The sequence below is a fragment of the Homo sapiens genome, chromosome 5, assembly GCF_000001405.40.
Source record: "Homo sapiens chromosome 5, GRCh38.p14 Primary Assembly".
NCBI lineage: Eukaryota > Metazoa > Chordata > Mammalia > Primates > Hominidae > Homo > Homo sapiens.
The window spans coordinates 55,625,342-55,644,746 of record NC_000005.10 but is presented as its reverse complement, the minus strand read 5'-3'; the positions used below and the strand labels follow the sequence as shown (position 1 = coordinate 55,644,746).

The window sequence follows — 19,405 nt, the reverse complement described above, 5'->3', positions numbered from 1 at the left end:
AAAACTTAAAGTATAATAATAATAATGCGGCTGGGCATGGTGGCTCACGCCTGTAATCCCAGCACTTCAGGAGGCCAAGGCGGGTGGACACGAGGTCAAGAGTTCAAGACCAGCCTGGCCAAGATGGTGAAACGCCGTCTCTACTAAAAATACAAAAATTAGTCGGGTATGGTGTTGGGCGCCTGTAATCCCAGCAACTCAGGAAGCTGAGGCAGAGAATTGCTTGAACTGGGAGGCAGAGGTTGCAGTGAGCCGAGATAGCCACTGCACTTCAGCCTGGGCAACAGATCCAGACTCCATCTCACAAAAACAAACAAACAAAAAATGCAACTGATCCAAAAGAAGCCATGGAAAAGGGACCAAAGAATAGATGTGACAAATAGAAAACAAATAGTGACAAATAGAAAACAAATAGCAACATAGTAGATTTAAACCCATTGTATTGATAATTACATTAAAAGACTCTGCAGTTAAAAGATTAAAAGAGGCCAGGTGTGGTGGCTCACACCTATAATCCCACCACTTTGAGAGGCTGAGGCAGGTGGATAACTTGAGGCCAGGTGTTCGAGACCAGCCTGGCCAACATGGTGAAACCCTGTCTCTACTAAAAATACAAAAATTAGCCAGGCATGGTGGTGCACACCTGTCATCCCAGCTACTCAGGAGGCTGAGGCAGGAGAATTACTTGAACCCAAGGGGTGGAGGTTGCAGTGAGCAGAGATCGTGCCACTGCACTCCAGCCTGAGCAACAGAGCAACACTCCATCTCAAAAAATAAATAAATAAATAAAAGAGATTTTCAGACTTGTTAAAAAACAAAGCCTAACTATATGTTGTCTACAAGGAATTTATATTAAACATAAAGATATACCATGCAAATATTAAACATAAGAAAGCTGGAGTGGCCAAATTGATATCAGATGAAATAGACTTTAGAACTGGCAGTATTGCCAGAGATAAAGAGGAACTTTACATAATGATCTGTAGGGATCAGTTCATCAAGAAGACATAATAATCCTAAATGTATATGTACCCAGTGACAGAGCTTCAAAATAAATGAATTAACAATTGCAAAACTGAAAAGAGAAGTAGACAAATCCACAATTATAATTGGACGTTTTATCACCCTCCTTCAAGTAATTGATAGAACAAATAGATTAAAATCAGTAAGGGTAGAGGAAGCATGAAAAACACTGTCAACCTATTTAATCTAATATATATTTATAAAGTTTTCTCTCAACTGCGGAATGCACATTCTTCTTAAATACATAAGAACATTTTCCAAGATAGACCATATGCTGGGTCATAAAACAATTCTCAATAAATTTGAAAGGATTTAAATCATACAGAGTATGTTCTCTAACCATAATGGAGTGAAGATACAAATCAATAACAGAAAGAAATTTGGGAAATTCACAAATTGTGGAAATTGAACAGCATACTCTTAAATAACCAATGGGTCAAAGAAGAAATCACAAGAAAAATTAGAACTACTTTGAGTTTACTTAAAGCAGTGCTTACAGGGAAATGTATAGCTGTAAACACCTACACTAAAAATGAAGATCTGAAAAACCTAACTTTCTACCTTAGACGATAGAAAAAGTAAAGCAAACTAAACCCAAGGCAAACAAAAGTTAACCAGTTACTTGTTGGCTTGTCTGCAGATTTTGTGCTCAATTTAACAGCTTCTGACCTTGTAAACAAAAGTCATAATGAAGTTCTAATAGAGGTCTATACAGTTGTTACTGAAATGCAAAAGAAGGAAGGATTTGCTGTGCCTGGAGATTCTGAGAAGGCTTTGAGTAAGGGGTAATGTTTGGCAGTCATTAAGAAGGCAAAAACCTTTCTAAGTAGAGGAAGTAAGCTCTCTAGAGCAAAAATATAAATTAAGCTTTTCCATCTTCATCTTTACTGACCATACATGTAGCATGTTACCTGTAAATGGAGTTGGACTTGAGTCAATCTGGATTTTTCATACTTCCTATCTTGGTGAACTGATCTCAAATTCCATTTTTGTCATATGTAAAAATTATAGCTACCTATCAGGGTTGTGATGTTAACATGATCTAACATACAATAGAGGCTGGAAATTTTTAGTATTTTTACCCCTCTTACCCTTTCTTTCCTGATATTTACAGTCTGTTCTTGTAAGCCAAGTTAGCCCAAGTGCCCTAGAAACTCATTTTGTTAAGTAGAATTCTCATGTATTGGATGATCCTATCCATAAAGCTGTGCTTCTCAAACTTTACCACCAAAGTCTCCCTAATAACAGAACAACCTCATGTACCTAGGAATCTAGGGAAGACAAACACAATCTTATTGAAGTGTCATGTTTTATCTTAAACATTTACACATATTTTTATCATGCTCATTATTTGTTTGTATTACTAGAAAACAGTCTCAGGCTGGGCACGGTGGCTCACGCCTGTAATCCCAACACTTTGGGAAGCTGAGGCGGGCGGATCACAAGGTCAGGAGATTGAGACCTTCCTGGCTAACACAGTGAAACCCCGTCTCTACTAAAAATACAAAAAATTAGCCGGGTGTGGTGGCACATGCCTGTAGTCCCCACTACTCAGGAGGCTGAGGCAGGAGAATCACTTGAACCTGGGAGGTGGATGTTGTGGTGAGCCGAGATCGCGCCACTGCACTCCAGCCTGGGTGACAAGAGTGAGACTCCGTCTCAAAAAAGAAACAAGGAAGGGAAAGGGGAAGGGGAAGGGCTCAAAATGAGTTAGATTACAGGCAGTTCTCATGTTGCATGGTTCTTACATGCACCAGTTTCATTAATCTGGTTTAGTTAAATTACATCAGTTCCTCCTAACAACATTTGTTCAAATCTCAGTTACCAAAGAATTTGAACTATTAGTACTTGTAAAGTAGTAGCTGCTAGCCCTCACTTCACAAAGCACTACATAAATAACAAGTGCACGTGATAATTAGTAACCAATCACATAACTTCTTTCAAAGTCTGTCAATGACTGGTCACTGTGTATGTTTTTCACTGTACAGTCTGCAAAGCAGATAGTTGTGTTAACTCCTTGTCTCCCAGTGATAAACTGACATGATATTTTACAAAAAATGGATACTTGAATGGGGAATTGTCAAACAAAGTGCTACAATGAAACAAAACAATAATGCAAGAAGTGAAATTTGAATTGAACTCTATATAGAGAGTTATAAAAGAAATAGCCAACTGTGGAAATGTTGACACTGCTGCCATACAAGAGACTCCAGATATGCAGCTAGAGAAACTTAAGGAAGGTGAGCTTATCAACGTGCATTCAGAAAGTGGTTATGATTACAAGAATGAAGATATCCCAGAGGAATTGACATTGTCAGAAAACTTCACATTAATCGAATTCTCAGAGATGTCTCACAACATTGAAAGCACAAAAGATGAAATGTTAGAAGCTGGTGCACAGTAAGGATAAAGGAGTATGGCAGTTCACCAAGGCATGGAAAAGATGCCTGCTCCATATTGTTAAGTTATACAGTGAGAAGAAGGAGGCGAACATAGTTCAGACTACTCTTGGTAGGTTTTTACCAAAAAATAAAATATTTTAAGCTCAATATTTTTGACATTGCAATGTACTTTAAAAGATGTTGGCCGGGCATGGTGGCTCATGCCTGTAATCCCAGCACTTTGGGAGGCCGAGGTGCGTGGATCACCTGAGGTTGGGAGTTCGAGACCAGCCTGACCAACATGGAGAAACCCCATCTCTACTAAAAATACAAAAAAAATTAGCTGGGCGTGGTGGCACATGCCTGTAATCCCAGCTAGTAGGGAGGCTGAGGCAGGAGAATCGCTTGAACCTGGCAGGCGGAGGTTGCAGTGAGCCGAGATCACACTGTTGCACTCCAGCATGGGCAACAAGAGTGAAACTCTGTCTCAAAAATATATATACATATTTTACTTTTTCTTCATTTCCCTATACATTTATAACTGACAGTAAGAGTATTTAATGTTTTGACAATTGTTAAAGATCTTAGAACAATTATAATTTTTCCCATTGATTATTGTGATCACTTTGCACAGTTTCAGGTTGCATAGTAATTTTTATAATCTCATACTACCCTGCAAAGTGAGGACTGTCTGTGCTTAACTTTTCACTCGCCAAAATTCTCAAGTTGAATTGCTTTTCTGGAAAGTCACACCAGTTTATCTGGAGATGTATACGCCCCATTGTGAGAAGCTCAGGGCTGGACTGAGATGGGCGTTCTTAATGCATGGTCTCCCAAAGACTGAGGACATGTCTTTGCCTTTCTTAGTAGAACACTCAGTGGGCCTTGAAATCCGTATTTCATATGTAAATACCATAAAATGAGTTCTTTCCACTTAGTATTAGGACTAGGGCTTTGTAGAACTATTATGTTAGGTTCAGCTAATACAATTTGATTCACCTTTTGTCACTTGTGGAAACTATTTTTAAAACAAAGGCTTAAAAGCAAAGGTTTAAATGGCTGGGCATGGTAGCTCACACCTGTAATTCCAGCACTTTGGGAGGCTGAGGTGGTTGGATCACCTGAGGTCAGGAGTTTGAGACCAGCCTGGCCAACATGGCAAAACCCCGTCTCTACTAAAAATACAGAAATTAGCCGAGCATGGTGGTGGGCCCCTCCAATCCCAGCTACTTGGGAGGCTGAGACAGGAGAATCACTTGAACCCAGGAGGCAGAGGTTGCAGTGAGCTGAGATCACACCACTGCCCTCCAGCCTGGGTGACAGAGCGAGACTCCATCTCAAAAAAAAAAAAAAAAAAAAGCAAAGGTTTAAATGGATTTTTTTTTTTTTACTGTCTTAATTGAAATTGGGTTATGAAGTGATGGTCTACCTTTCAAAAAACTAGTTGTACTTCATGTTAACTTCTTAAAATATTAATAATTACTAAGGATAAAGCTAACATTTATGAAGCACTATGTGCCAGCAACATTCTAAACACTTTGACTATATGTAAATATATATACTCTCTTTTTGATTATACTGAAATTGGCTTTTATGTTAGCAAAAATCAACCTAAATGGGTACTATATTCTGAGAAAAACTTTTTGTCATTTCATTTATTTAATGATTATACCTTTAAGCAAGTTTCAGTAAGTACTTTGAAAGAAGTCCTGTTAATATCATGGCATAATATTTTCTTGAGATTAAAGTCAGAAAATGTAAAGCTTGCCAGGGACTCTGAATTCATAATGTGGATACTGGATCATTCCAAGCTCAGTAAACAAGAGTTTGAAAATAGAAAAGAAGACAAAAGAATAGAAAAGGCCTCCTCTTCTGTATAAACTATAGCTGGACTTGAACTAAAGACATTTGCAAAGAAAGAAACAAACTCCTAAATAGGTGTAGTGAGCAAATTTTCCAGGTTTTCCAAGTTCAACTTCATTTCATACATTTTTTTTTCCCACGAAATGCAGTTTGTTATATGTGTAAATGGGATATCATTTCTATTCTTTTTTTTTTTTTTTTTTTTTTAGACAGAGTTTCGTTCTTGTTGCCCAGGCTGGAGTGCAGTGGCACCATCTTGGCTCGCTGCAACCTCCGCCTTCCCGGTTCAAGCAGTTCTCCTGCCTCAGCCTCCCAAGTAGCTGAGATAACAGGCATGTACCACCACGTCTGGCTACTTTTGTATTTTTAGTAGAAATGGGGTGATCCGCCCGCCTCGGCCTCCCAAAGTGTTGGGATTACAGGCGTGAACCACCGCGCCTGGCCATCATTTCTATTCTTTTGTCGTATCTTACCAAAAAAAGGGGATTAGGGAGCTGAAGACCATCCAACTAGTTTATCACCAGAATATGTAGTCCCTATAACCCTCCTGGTTGTGTGGATTGACCTCTTGATATTTCCTCATTGTATTTGAATCAGAACCTCTAAGTGCTTCTTTTGTTTGGTTTTGTTTTGTCTGTGTTTAGTTGTATTACCCTGCTTTGTTCTTTAAAACGATTTGAAATACCTCATATTGTGATTTGTTATTTACTTTTTCCTTCTTCATATGAATCTGTGGTTTACTTGGCTATATACCAGGAGAAGTTATGTAAATGTTTGGGGTCAGTCTGTGTGGTCAGTTTCTGTCATTTTTGTTAGTAAATGCTCCACTGAATAGTATTTTCACTATGAACGGTACGTGGAACAAATAATAAACCATGTCTGACAAACAGAATGTGTTCCCAAACCTACTTCTGGGCCTGTTGTAGATCCAGTTTTCATTCTGACTTGGCATTCTACCTGTCTTTAGTTTTCTACCGTCAACCCTGCCAGCCATTTCTTATTCACAAGACAGAGTCAGTTACCTTATTAATGTATAGGCTTCTTGACATAATTACCAGCTTATATTGTCGCTTGTGTCTCTTTTTAAATATATTTTTTACTTTGAGCCTCGTTTTCTAAATAATAGCTTTTTTCTATCCTGTTCCATTAAATGGGCTTTCAAGGCTATTCCATTAAATAGGCTATATCTTTAGGCCTAATGGCTTGTGTTTGAGCCAGAGAATAGCAAAGCCCACATATGTGTATACTGTTCATAAGTGGCATGTTTCCCAGTGTCATGCTAAACCTCAGCTGCTTTTATAATAAAAGCATAATTTCTGTTCATTGGAGTATTCAGATGAAAACACATATGCAGCTCCTGAGCCACTTTTACTTAAGGTATGTTGGAGTACTGTGAAATAAAACTTTTCTGATTTTAGTATCTCAAAATGGAAGCATCCCTGTATGTGTTCTGTTGTATAGTTGTTACTCATAACTTGTTACCTCTCTTTTTTTTTATTATTATTGTTTATTAACTATGACACAATTGCACTGGAGACTGGTCAGCTCCCCATCATAGTAGCTAAGGACCTGCAATTTGGAACTAAAAAGATCTTGATTTGAATATTGGTTTCACCAGATACTCACTTTGCAGCCACAAACGAGTTTTGTAACCTTGCTGCACTTAGTTTACATCTGTAAAATGAAGAAAATGACAGTATCTACATTATAAGGTTGCAATGAGGATTAAATGAGATGACACTTGTAATGTGCTTAGCAATATAGCCTGGCACCTACAAGCACTTAATAAAGCCAGTGTGGCTATTATTCTTTATCTACATTTACCAAGTTCCTCCTATGTACCAGGCGTGGTCCTGGGTATTGGGGATACAAAGAAGAAAAAGACGTGGTCTCTCTCCTCAGAATCCCAGAGTCTTGTGGTACAGACACATTTGAAGAAAAAATACCAACATGATGCAAGAACTATTAACCTTGGCTATTTTAGGGATGTCAAGGGACATTTTATTTCCACTTGAAATTCTTTATATCATGCACATGGTTTACTTTTATAATAAAAATTAATGACTGTCACAATACAGTAGAATAGTTGCTGAATTTGAGATAAGTATATAGTGCCGTGAGAACAGAGAAGCGGAAGGGAAAAGTCTTGTTGGAAGCTGTGCACCATAGCCTTTGCATCTTAATCAGATTTCCCCCTAGGTATGCTATGGTACACTTCTTTGCAAGATGTCAGACCAAAATAACGTGGTGATCAGGTAGTAGATAAGCTGAAAACTGTCTATGGGATGGTGGCTGTCCCACTTTACAGAGAGCTGTCTCAGGCCCAGCTGCTTTGCCTCCCAAGATTTTTTTACAAGGCTACCTCTGTTCTTGAGTGGCATTGAGTAGGTTGAGTGTAGAATGACTTTCAGCCATCATAATGGGAAACTACTACTTTTGACAAAAAAGTAGATTTGGCCTGGTTCATTGCTGTTCATCCCACACAAGATCATGAGGCAACCCTAGGGGTGACTGAACTCTGGCCTCCCGTCAGACCTAGAGCTTCATGAACTAAAGAGGAATGATTTTGAAACTGTGCCCGGTCATCCTCTTCCTCATTCCTAAGCAATTAGACGCATTTTGAGAGGGCTGGAACCAATCTGCATAAGCCTTTAGCTCCATGGGCTTATCCACCATCTAATTTAGGGTTTAAAACCCTTAACTTACTTTCAAGCTGATTGTCAATTTAGACCTGACCTTAAGATTTCTCATAACTTGTTACTTGCTTTTTAACTGAATTTGTCAACATTCAAGTTTATAAAACTCTACTACGTTAGCTAGCCCATTTAAGGAAGAAAGTAATCCAAAAAGTCAGAAATGTTCCCTAATACCAAATGTCCAGTTTTTTTATTGTGCTATCAAATGTTTTTAAGTTTATTTTTTTCTAATTTGTTTCCTTAGCTTTCAGAGTAATTTTTGTTTAAAATGAAAAATGAATAGGCTTGTTGCCATAATTTAATTGTGCTGAATTGTTTGGCCATAACTTCAGTGGTGATGAAGACCAGATTTTTGAGCTGGGGAATCTGTTCTGTTTGGATCTGACAGCTGGCTACATTAAATATCTTGGAGCTTTTTACTTTGCATGGATATGGGAGGTTGGGAGGGTGGGAACCGCAATAGAAGAAAGCAGTCCGCTTTATTTAATGTTCTGCATTTGTTTGCTGATTCCAGTAACATTGTGCAGCTGTTTGAACAGCTGCCTTTTGATTTCCTTTTGTTTACTGTTTAGATTTATTAAGCTTGTCTTTAATACTGCTTGTTGTCTGTTCTTTAACTAGCTTTCTTTCTTTATTAAATATATTTTAGTATGTTCTGCTCTGCTGTGGTCTAGGCATGTTTTAATAATATAAGTTAATTTACCAAAGGACGAATTTTTAAAATGTTGCAGACCATACTGAAGTGGCTATGCTTACTTTCTTGTTGTCCCTTAGCTTTATTATTGTAGTTAAATATTTTGTAATTTGGCAACTAAATTATCTTTTGAAATTAAGTCAGAATTTCAGTCATGTTAAACCACTATGTTAACTTCTAAGTCTGCCAACAGGTAGCTTAGTCTACATACTTCAGAGTACTTTTTTAAAAAAAATTGCCAGACTAATTGTAAAGTGTGTGGATTTTGTTTTAACTACTTTCTGTGAACAAATTGAATATCTAGAAGTATATACACACATGTACAAGGTAAAAAGACAAATTTTATATTTATTTGTTAGTCTCCTTAGCCTATTAAGGTAGACTTACTACAAGGTTCTTCAGTATTATGGGACTTTTGTTCTGTATTTACAGGTGAGGGACTTGTGCATTGCTTATATGCTGGTGACATTAACTTATCTCTATATTGGAGTCCTGGTTTTTGCTTCATTTCCTTCACCACCATTATCCAAAGATTGTATTGAGCAGGTAAGGCACCGTGTACCCTCTCTGTGTGATTGTGTACACTTTCATGTATTTATAGTAGGTAGGGTGATACAGTGGCAAGATATAACATCAGATAGGCCTGGGTTTTAATACCATCTCTGCTATCTACTCCAAGTATGGGAATTTAGGCACCTTCCCTTTTCTTTCTGAGCTTTATTTTTCTTTTCCATTAAATAGTATAATAAGTACCCCCATTTGATTTTTAGATGGACTCTGAGATAATGTACTACATGCCAGGCACCTTGTGGTACTCAAATAAATGTCTACTATTATGTACATATATTTCTCTTTTTGTGGGGAACTGGTACAAGTAGTTCTCATGTAGTTATAAAACCACAGAGAATACATTGAAGGAACTCCCTATTTTTAAAAGCCTGTATCAGGAATGCCCTGGATAAACTAGAGTCTTTGTTTATCAGACTCTAATGATTAATCAGACTCTCATTCTTATATTGAGTGACAGGCAGCAAAACAAAAAAAGAGTATTTGGCTGTTAAAAAAAGAGAGAGAGATGTCCTATGAGTCACCAGAGGGTTAAAAAAAAAAAAAAAGAGAGACAGAGTAAAAGAAAAAAATATTTTAATAAAAGATTGCCATAACTAATATTTTCTTTGATTTAACCCATCAAAAACTTAGCAATAGTATAGTCTTTAGTTATAAGTGACTGAAGAGTTTCTCACAAAAAACAACATTTCACAAGTGACTTTCTGGTCAGAAGAAATTCCTCTTATAGAGTACAATGGAATATACTAATGTGATTTATTACAGCTGAATTATAATGGTTATTTCAGCAAAATAATGTTAATAGTGTTCTCATCTTTATAAGAGAAATAAGTTTGAATTACTGCTATTATGGCAGCTTGGAAATGTTCTTATTTTCTTGATTTCCTTGACTCCAGAAGTTCTTTGGCAGCCAAATGTTTGCTGGCAATTTCCCTGATATGAACAAACTCATACAAAGCCTACTCCCTTGGGAATAGGAATATTTGTGGTATTTGTATTTGAAAGAAAAGATAAAAATTCTAAGTAATTAACTTTTTTTTAAGATACCAAACCAAAATGGAGAAAAGGGTCATGAAAGGAAGTAGAGATAAATCCTTTTAAATTTAGTGATAGACTAAACAATGATGTAGTAGGTGATAGACATACTCTCACCTTATTCTGTCATCTTTACTTCAAAAGTGCTTACAGTGCTTCAGAGGAGGAAAGCAGCAGAGCCAGAGAGGGTAAAATAACACTGAATTAAATTAGCTCTTTACATCTTTAAAGTGGACTGGTATTTTCCTTGAACCACATAAAGCAATGCTTTCTCGATCTATCTGTGGTGAAGGACAAAATTGTCTTTGCTGTTGCTTTAATGTTAAATAAATTGCAGGCTGATACTTTTGTAAAATAGAATAAAATTGTGGCAATGTCAGATTCCTGTAAAAGTTTCTGAACACTTTCGGTTTCTATACTTACCTCATTGAAAAAATACTTAACAAGTAGTTGTGGATGGGCACTAGTCCACAAACCACAATCGGAGTAGCACCTGTGTTCAAAATAAGCAGAAGACATTCCATTTTATGAATGTGTGTACTGAATTTGATTTTTAACATGACCTCATTATCTTTCTTGGATTAGAATTTTTTAGACAACTTCCCTAGCAGTGACACCCTGTCCTTCATTGCAAGGATATTCCTGCTGTTCCAGATGATGACTGTATACCCACTCTTAGGCTACCTGGCTCGTGTCCAGCTTTTGGGCCATATCTTCGGTGACATTTATCCTAGGTAAGGGCTCTTCTCTTGACCAGCAGGATGTGCCAAGCAACAAATGACTGTGCAAGCAGGTCAGTTTAAAGTGTGACTGATCCTTTTGCTATAAAAATGCCTAATGCAAGTGGTGACTAAAGATAGATCATTGGTGTCCTCTTCCCTGAAGAGCTTTAAAAATAGAAGCCACTCCCTTGTCTAGAATGATTTAAAGTTCATTCCTTCCAGTATAGTTAATTAGCTCCGATACCATTTATATTTATCTTATTATTTAATTGCTATTGATTTACATATTGTCAAGAAGTTTATAGTGTATAGTACCTATGTTGGCAATGTGTAGCTAATGAGAAGCAACACTTTTAATTATTGGTCATTGAAACTATCAGGGCCAAGGGAAAACTTCCCCTTTGCCCTCTGAAGTTTTGTTGAAAATGACCGACAAGAGGCAGATTAATAGGCAAAAAGGGCCCGGCTCAGTGGCTCATGCCTGTAATCCTAGCACTTTTGGAGGCCAAGGTGTGTGGATCGCTTGAGCCCAGGAGTTCAAGACCAGCCTGGGCAACATACTGAAACTCCATCTCTACAAAATTTTAAAAAATCAGCCGAGCATAGTGGGCATGCTTGTAGTCCCAGTTACTCAGGAGGCTGAGGTGGGAGGAGGAGGATCGTTTGAGCCCGGGAGATCGAGGCTGCAGTGAGCTGAGATCACGCCACTGCTCTGGGTGATACAGTGAGACCCTGACTCCAAAAGAAAAAAAAAAAGGAGAAAAGGCATATAAATGTATTTGAATGTGGTTTTATGTTACATGGGAGCCTTTAGAAAGAAGACCCAAAGATACAGGGGAAATTGTCCTTTTTTATGGTTATGTTTATGTGAACAGCCATGTCTAATGCTAATAGACTGAGTGGGGAACTCCAGCAAGGCCCCTCTGTCTAGATTCTTAGCCTCTCTGAGCATGTGTTTTTTTCATCTGCGTCTGGGGCAGGACCCTCTCTGGAATGGGAGTCTTATGACCTGCAGTCAAACAAGACAGGTCAGATCATTTCTTTATGGCTAGTTTTTACACAGAAATAGTGGGAAATTGGAGTGATATTTTTAGGTTTTACGGCCAGCTTGAGGGAAAAGGTTTCCATGTTCCACTTTGGGGAAGAGGGATTCTAGTTTCTAAGATAGCTTCGGGAGAATGGGACTGAGATTCAGAAGGTCAGAGAAAAACTTTTGTTTCTGAGGCTTTCATTTTAGGGTATGGTTTTCTGAGTCCAACAATCCTTACTTTTATATTCATTAACATTTATGCAGTTTTTGTTGTTGTTGTTGTTTGTTTTTGTTTTCTGAGACTGAGTCTCGCTCTGCCGCCCAGGCTGGAGTGCAGTGGCGCGATCTCGGCTCACTGCAAGCTCCACCTCCCGGGTTCACGCCATTCTCCTGCCTCAGCCTCCTGAGTAGCTGGGACTACAGGCGCCCACCACCATGCCCGGCTAATTTTTTGTATTTTTTAGTAGTGGTGGGGTTTCACTGTGTTAGCCAGGATGGTCTCAATCTCCTGACCTTGTAATCCGCCCGCCTCAGCCTTCCAAAGTGCTGGGATTACCGGCGTGAGCCACTGCACCCGGCCTACATTTATGCAATTTTACATAAATGATCAATTGTTTAGAATTGAAGGTCAGATATATAATTAATTTTTATTTGATATATAACAAGTTTAAATTACTGCTATAATTGTTAACCTCTTATTAGGGATGAAGGAGTTGTGAGTTCTTTTGAAAATCTTTTCAAAGCTGGTTACCCTCATCCAAGAGAAATTTCTTTTTTTTTTTCAAGAGAAATTTCTATATGTCATTTCAGAGTTTCCCAGCAGCCTTCTTGTGGACCTTTGGTTAACTCCTACCCTTACATTAAGTCTTTTTATAGGTTCATCTTAGTGAAAAGAACCTAGTCCACTTTTATTAGGCATATGTTCTTTTAAAGAAAGATAACTTAAATAAAATTTGAAAAAAATTGCATTTACAGTAAGCAACTAAACAAGTGGTCTTAATCAGTTCTTGTTTAAAATGAACTGATGTAGTCTGCTTCTTCGATAAATAATTTTTGCCATAAATATGTTGGTTTCAAAACAAAGCAAAAGTCAGGAGTTACCAGGTCTCAAGCACTGATAAGTATAGCAGCAGCTATGGTTCTAGTGTTATTATCCAGAAGATTGGAGCTCAATAAATGTAAGCCTCTGATTGTGTTTCTACTCTGCTGTATTTATATTCATCAAAGAAAATAAATACAGTGAAGTCATAGATGAAAAAATGCTAAGCAAATACATTATTCCTGTTTTCTACCATTATTTTGCAGAATGTGGCTATCTTTACAATAATGTTTTTTCTTCTTGGAAAAAGTCAGAGATTTCCCTTTTGTTTTCACATTACAGTTCTTCCCCTACCACCAAGAACACATTGTCATTTTCATTTATCCGACAGTTATAAGCACTTTATAGAGTGTGCATACTTTGGAGCATAATTTTTGGTCTCAGGACCCTTTATGCTCTTAAAAATGTATTGAGGACTCCAGGAGCTTTAGTTTATGCAGGTATAGCTATCAGTATTTAAATATTAAAAAATAGAATTTAGGTTTTTTGTTTTTCGTTTTTTTGAGACGGAGTTTCACTCTTGTCGCCCAGGCTGGAGTGCAGTGGCATGATCTTGGCTCACTGCAACCCCTGCCTCCTGGGTTCAAGCAATTCTCCTACCTCAGCCTCCCGAGTAGCTGGGATTACAGGCACCCACCACCATGTCTGCCTAATTTTTTGTGTTTTTAGTAAAGATGGTGTTTCGCCATGTTGGGCAGGCTGGTCTTGAACTCCTGACCTCAGGTGATCTGCCTGCCTCAGCCTCCCAAAGTGCTGGTATTACAGGCATGAGCCACCGTGCCCAGCAAAGTATTTTTAATTTGTTTAAAATCAATAATAAAACCATTACTTGTTAACATAAGTAACATTTTTGTAAAAAAACACTTTCAGGGGATGGATACCCCAGTCTCCATGATGTGATTATTATGTATTACATGCCTGTATGAAAACATCTTATGTGCCCCATAAATATATACACCTACTATGTACCCACCAAAATTTAAAAAAATAAAAATAACTGCTTTCAAAAAATTTTTAATTTAGCCGTTCGTGGTGGCTCACACCTGTAATCCCAGCACTTTGGGAGGCCAAGGCGGGTGGATCATGAGGTCAGGAGATCGAGACCATCCTGGCCACCATGGTGAAACCCCATCTCTACTAAAAATACAGAAATTAGCCTGGCGTAGTGGCAGGCGCTTGTAATCCCAGGTACTCGGGAGGCTGAGGTAGGAGAATTGCTTGAACCCAGGAGGCGGAGGTTGCAGTGAGCCAAGATGGCACCACTGCACTCCAGCCTGGGTGACAGAGCGAGACTCCATCTCAAAAAAAAACAAAAACAAACAAACAAAAAAACCCTTTAATTTACATTTGCAAAACTCTGATGTTTGTTTTACTAGCAGACAATTGATTCTCCTCTCTACTTCTGCATTCCATGTTATAATATCCTGTTTTCGTTTAGATTTGTGAAGAAAATCCAGCCTCACATAGATAGTTGGAAAAAGAAGGAGTACTTTTAATAGCTTTTTCATATAATTGTGGATATTCTTCTTTGATACTGTGCCAAAACCTGACGAGTGGTAGCTTCTTATGAGTTGCATCGTGGAATCTGAAACTTGTTTACATTAAAACCAATTGGTCTATCGTGCACTTTGGATCTTTTACGCATGCATGATTTTGTAACATCTGTTTGATCATTTGGAAAATATTGGTTCACTGAGTTCTGTGGATCTTCCAAATGTTGACACACTTCATTTTACAATATCAAAACCCACTTTCATTAATACTATCACTAATTTCATCACAAGAGCCTTTAAACATTGGGAAACTGTCAAGCTCAGGGTAGCAAATACAAGTTTTCCAAAATTCTAGTTTTTATTTGAAAACTTTAATTTTATCTTTGGCAACAAATACTGCCAGTTGTTTTCCTTGAATTATATAAGTGACAAGCTTATATAATTCATTTTTCTGGAAAATCTCTGTCAAACACCTGAGTTTGAATGACCATAGTTTGACTGCAATTCAAGTAAAAGTAGCATTTGGTAGGCAAAACAGCTAGGTCCCCTTCAGCTCAGCCACACAGGTACTTTTCCTCAAGACTTCCAGCGTACTGTACTGCAGTACGCGCAGATGTGCTTTATTATGACTTTCCTATTTGATCACATAGAATATTTAAAGGATATATATTCAAACATGAGATTTAGCAAAATTAATGTTCTACTCCTTTATCAAGGACTTTTTTTATACTTTGGAGAGTGTTTGGCATTAAAGAATAGAGTATAGAAAGCATGGGTGTTAGCCGGTCATGGTGACACACACCTGTAGTCCCAGCTATTCAGGAGGTTGGTTTGAGCCCAGAAGTTCAAGCCTTCAGTAAGCCATTATTGCCCCACTGCACTGCAGCCTGGATGACAGAGCAAGACCCTGTCTCTTAAAAAAATAATAATAATTAATTAAAATTTTAGAAAAGGAATACAGATGGATGCAACTGCCTCCCTCTGTGTATACAAAGTTGTTTCCGTTTATAATGCAGAAATAACAAAAGCCCAGCCAATACCTCAAAGCTCTGAAGCAATTTTAAGGTTAGAGTTTCTGGGTAAACAGTAAGATCTGTAAGCCCTAATATCTTTCTAATTCATCAGGGTATATGACTAACCACTTATTTATATAAATAATTTTCTTTGTTTCTAATTCTCTGTAATCTTTATCTGGGATTAATTAACCTCTGATGACTTGGGCCCAAAGGGTTGCTTTGATGTGTACATTTGGCTTTTGAGAATCATTTTCAGGGGAAATGGAGTTCTTTCTTCAGCATCAAATTTTCATCTACATTATTTTTGTTTGTGTCCAAAATTGTTTCCCAAACCTTGAATTGTTAATATCTAGTTAAAGTATTTAGTAAATATTCTCTTCATGGTAGTGAGTAGCTTTAAGTTCTTTCTTTATGGTCAAAGTATGAAGTATGACCACTTTCTTTAAGTGGTTAAATCTGGAAGATAAAAACCTGCCCATTTTGTCTTTCCCTTAATATAATGTGTTTAATATAAAAGTAATTTGAACACTTTATGAAAAGTTTGTTAAATATAGAAAGAGGCAATGTTATCCAAAACCCCAAATTGTAACAAAATCACTACTGCCTTCTCAGTGTATATCCTTCTGATTTTTTTTTCCAAATGTTTTTGGGGTTTTCTTGTGTAGTGAAAACCTAGCTGGCTTTTTTTCTGAATTGCCTAGATAGTATTTTACCTGACAAGGTAATGGTGATAAGTTATTTTAAATAATTTTTAACATATTCTGTCAAGTAAATTATTGTCTTGCTATGTCCAGGATTCTTCTGTTTTTTCATAAATATCTTGATATTCATAGCATTTTCATTGTTTGGATTATTTTCTCAAGATATTCCAAATGGAATAATAGATCAAAGAATGTGAATTCTGATACACACTACCAGTGTACTTCTACAAAATTTAACCAGTATAATTGCACAGAAGAGCTAATTTCACTTTCTCGTTACCACAATTGAGGACTACTGTTACCTTCTATTTTTGCTGTGATTTTATCAAGCTTAAGACATTTTGATTTTAACGATGTTAAGAATGAACTGTAGTCTCATATTAGTGGTTATAATTTGCCTATTTTTATATTTTTTCTTTCTTCCAAACTCTCTTCTCAACTTCTAGCATTTTCCATGTGCTGATTCTTAATCTAATTATTGTGGGAGCTGGAGTGATCATGGCCTGTTTCTACCCAAACATAGGAGGGATCATAAGGTACTGCCTTGTAAGGGAATGGTGCCCTTACATATATTGGTCTTTATTTTCAGGCTTTTCCTGTTGTTGTTGTTGTTTTAATTTAATTGTATGAAATTCCTATGAGTATTTAAAACTAGTAATATTCAAATGCAGCCCCTTGGTATCAGTTAAGATGCTCATTATCTTCCCTTTCTGTTTGTTCTGGTGGAGAACTCACTCTAGAAGCTCCATTATCCCTTAGCCTCAGGCATCATTTTCTTTTTCTTTCTCTCATCATCTTCCACTTTATTTCCTCTCTATATCCAAAATAAAAAGTTATTTTTAATATATGTATAACTTTTTGGGATTACCTGGGAGGTCCTTTATTTGTCAGAGCTTCCTTAATCCATTCTAAGTTCCTTAATCCATTTCTACTCAAAAGTATTTTTCAATGTCAATTGTAGTCAAAAAGTAAGAGTTTAAGTAAGAATTTAGACCCTAGATGGCTTTCTTTAATATCCTTTTCCTAAAAACGTGACAGGATGAATAGAGTAGGAATAAAGTTGTACCTCAAATTCTCATGGGAAATTGGGATTTAGAATGATCTGATTTCTCTTACTATGGACAGCAGGAAGGAGTCATTTTTTTTGGAACACTCTTACCTAAGAAAGTAACAAGGAACAAGAAGGGGAGATTGTTAGCCTGATGCTTATTGAATATAAAGGGCTTACCAGTTCCTATTGAACTGTTCCTCAAGAAAACCCAAGTATAGAGAAAAGGAGAAGAAAGTGCATATTTCTCTGTCACAGTCTCATGTTTAAGTATTTTTGTTATTATCTTTCGTAATCATGCTGAATGCCATGGTAGCATTTATCTGTTCTTATACTTAAACCGGGATGCTAACGGTCCCTCAAAAACTGAGAATGAGTAATTAGTTTATAAAAGATCAAAGATAGGAGGCCTAGCTCCAGATGTTTCTGAGGAAGTAGCCACAATCACCAAATACAGAGGAACTACAGAGATTTGAGGGATGAATAAAAAGTCTTTGTTAAGCAGATGCTATAAAGATGAGCAGGAAATCATATTTTATATTAACTTAGCAAGTAAAGTAAGTTTTAAACCCAGATGTTTTATGTCAACAACAAATGAATCAAAAATAATTTTTGTTGAGCTATCAGACTGAGGAGGATTTAAATTGTACTATGTTTACCTTAATTGTAAAAAGCAAAGTGCAAGATGAATATTAACCCCAAAAGCTTTTATTTTGCAGATATTCAGGAGCAGCATGTGGACTGGCCTTTGTATTCATATACCCATCTCTCATCTATATAATTTCCCTCCACCAAGAAGAGCGTCTGACATGGCCTAAATTAATCTTCCACGTTTTCATCATCATTTTGGGCGTGGCTAACCTGATTGTTCAGTTTTTTATGTGAAATACCTCAACTGTTTTTTTCAAGAGCTCTCATGATATTTTGAGCCTTGACAACAGTTCTATATAAATTCACTTGTAAATGCTGCTGTTGTGTAATTCTAAATATTTTCTAAGATAATTTGAAAGCAAGGGAAATAGTGGCCCCTTAATGAGTATTTTTTTATTGGGGTGGGGAAAGGGGCAAAAAGAATGATCTTAGTGTCTTTACCTTTCTCATATTAACTCACCTCTTTATTCTGTGGTCTTTTCTGAATAGAAATGTATGCCCTAGGAAGAAATCATGCTGGGTTTTGCTTTTAGAGATAAAAGGTGGTGGATTTATTTTGCCTGCAGTAAAGATTCTCAGGGTGTCAGAGCAGCATATTGTCAAATCCTGCTTCTGTTTTATGTTTCAGTGTATTCACTTTCATTTTCTTACTTACTAGACCATTTCTGCAGTTTGCCCAAACCTCTACTGTTTGGGACAGTAAGCCAAATACCTCATTTTTAAAAAGAAGTTTTCATGGCATCAGTGTTAATAAAGTACATTTTTAACTGAGTCTTAATCTCTATTTGAAGAAAAAGTAGAGACAAAAGTAATGTCAATGTAATCCCCAGGATCATGAAATGTATACAAAATAAATAAAGTAGGAGAGTTTGTTGCTGTCTAACTCCTCTTTTATTTCTAATCCAGTACCAGTGACTTAGATCGAAATTACAGTTCCCCAAGCCAGACTTTGCATAAGAACAAGAATGATTGTCCCCATAGACCCAGGGGGTGCTTTTGCTTTTTGGATCCCTGAGATCCCAGCGTAGGCTGTCATGATGGACCCAGTGGGGAAAGCATGGCAGAGAGGAGCCTGAGAGGCCCATAGGGGAGACGGCGAACAGAGAAGGGGCCAGGGAGGAAGAGGCCTCAGCCCAGCATATTTTGTGTCCTCTGGGGGTGGACTGGTTTCTGCACCACAAAAAAGGATTGATTTTGTTTGAGGTATGACCTTCAGAAAGAGACCTCCATCTGCTTACTTCTGTAACTGGCAGTACTGTTACAGGAAAGGGGTCCTGATCCAGACCGTGAGAGAAGGTTCTTGGATCTTGCGCAAGAAAGAATTCCAGGCAGGTCCACAGAGTAAAGTGAAAGCAAGTTTATTAGGAAAGTAAAGGAATAAAAGAA

The 19,405-nt window shown here is 37.3% G+C and overlaps 1 protein-coding gene across 47 annotated transcripts in view, besides 2 other annotated features; it reads left to right on the top strand.

Moving 5' to 3' along the window:
* The window catches only part of SLC38A9 (solute carrier family 38 member 9), an 86,491-nt gene extending 67,589 nt beyond the window's left edge, over positions 1–18,902 (top strand). For 32 of the 47 annotated variants that reach the window (NM_001282429.1, XM_047416799.1, XM_047416796.1 and 29 more), the window contains 4 exons: positions 9,090–9,203; positions 10,845–10,993; positions 16,767–16,856; positions 18,088–18,902. In NM_001282429.1, coding sequence (NP_001269358.1) covers positions 9,090–9,203; positions 10,845–10,993; positions 16,767–16,856; positions 18,088–18,253 — 519 coding nt within the window. In that variant the 3' untranslated portion in view covers positions 18,254–18,902. Of the gene's footprint in view, positions 1–5,476; positions 5,600–9,089; positions 9,204–10,844; positions 11,053–16,766; positions 16,857–18,087 lie in introns of those variants that run through there. The other 15 variants (XM_047416789.1, XM_017009081.2, XM_017009077.2 and 12 more) reach the window with 7 other exon arrangements.
* Positions 2,085–2,584: an enhancer, noted in NCBI's record as "H3K4me1 hESC enhancer chr5:54937991-54938490 (GRCh37/hg19 assembly coordinates)". NCBI's record gives its function as "activates a minimal SCP1, AML or CMV promoter by ChIP-STARR-seq in naive H9 embryonic stem cells {active_cell/tissue: H9 hESC(naive)}" and the evidence as "EXISTENCE:reporter gene assay evidence [ECO:0000049][PMID:30033119]".
* Positions 18,591–19,405: an enhancer, noted in NCBI's record as "NANOG-H3K27ac-H3K4me1 hESC enhancer chr5:54921170-54921984 (GRCh37/hg19 assembly coordinates)". NCBI's record gives its function as "activates a minimal SCP1, AML or CMV promoter by ChIP-STARR-seq in naive H9 embryonic stem cells {active_cell/tissue: H9 hESC(naive)}" and the evidence as "EXISTENCE:reporter gene assay evidence [ECO:0000049][PMID:30033119]".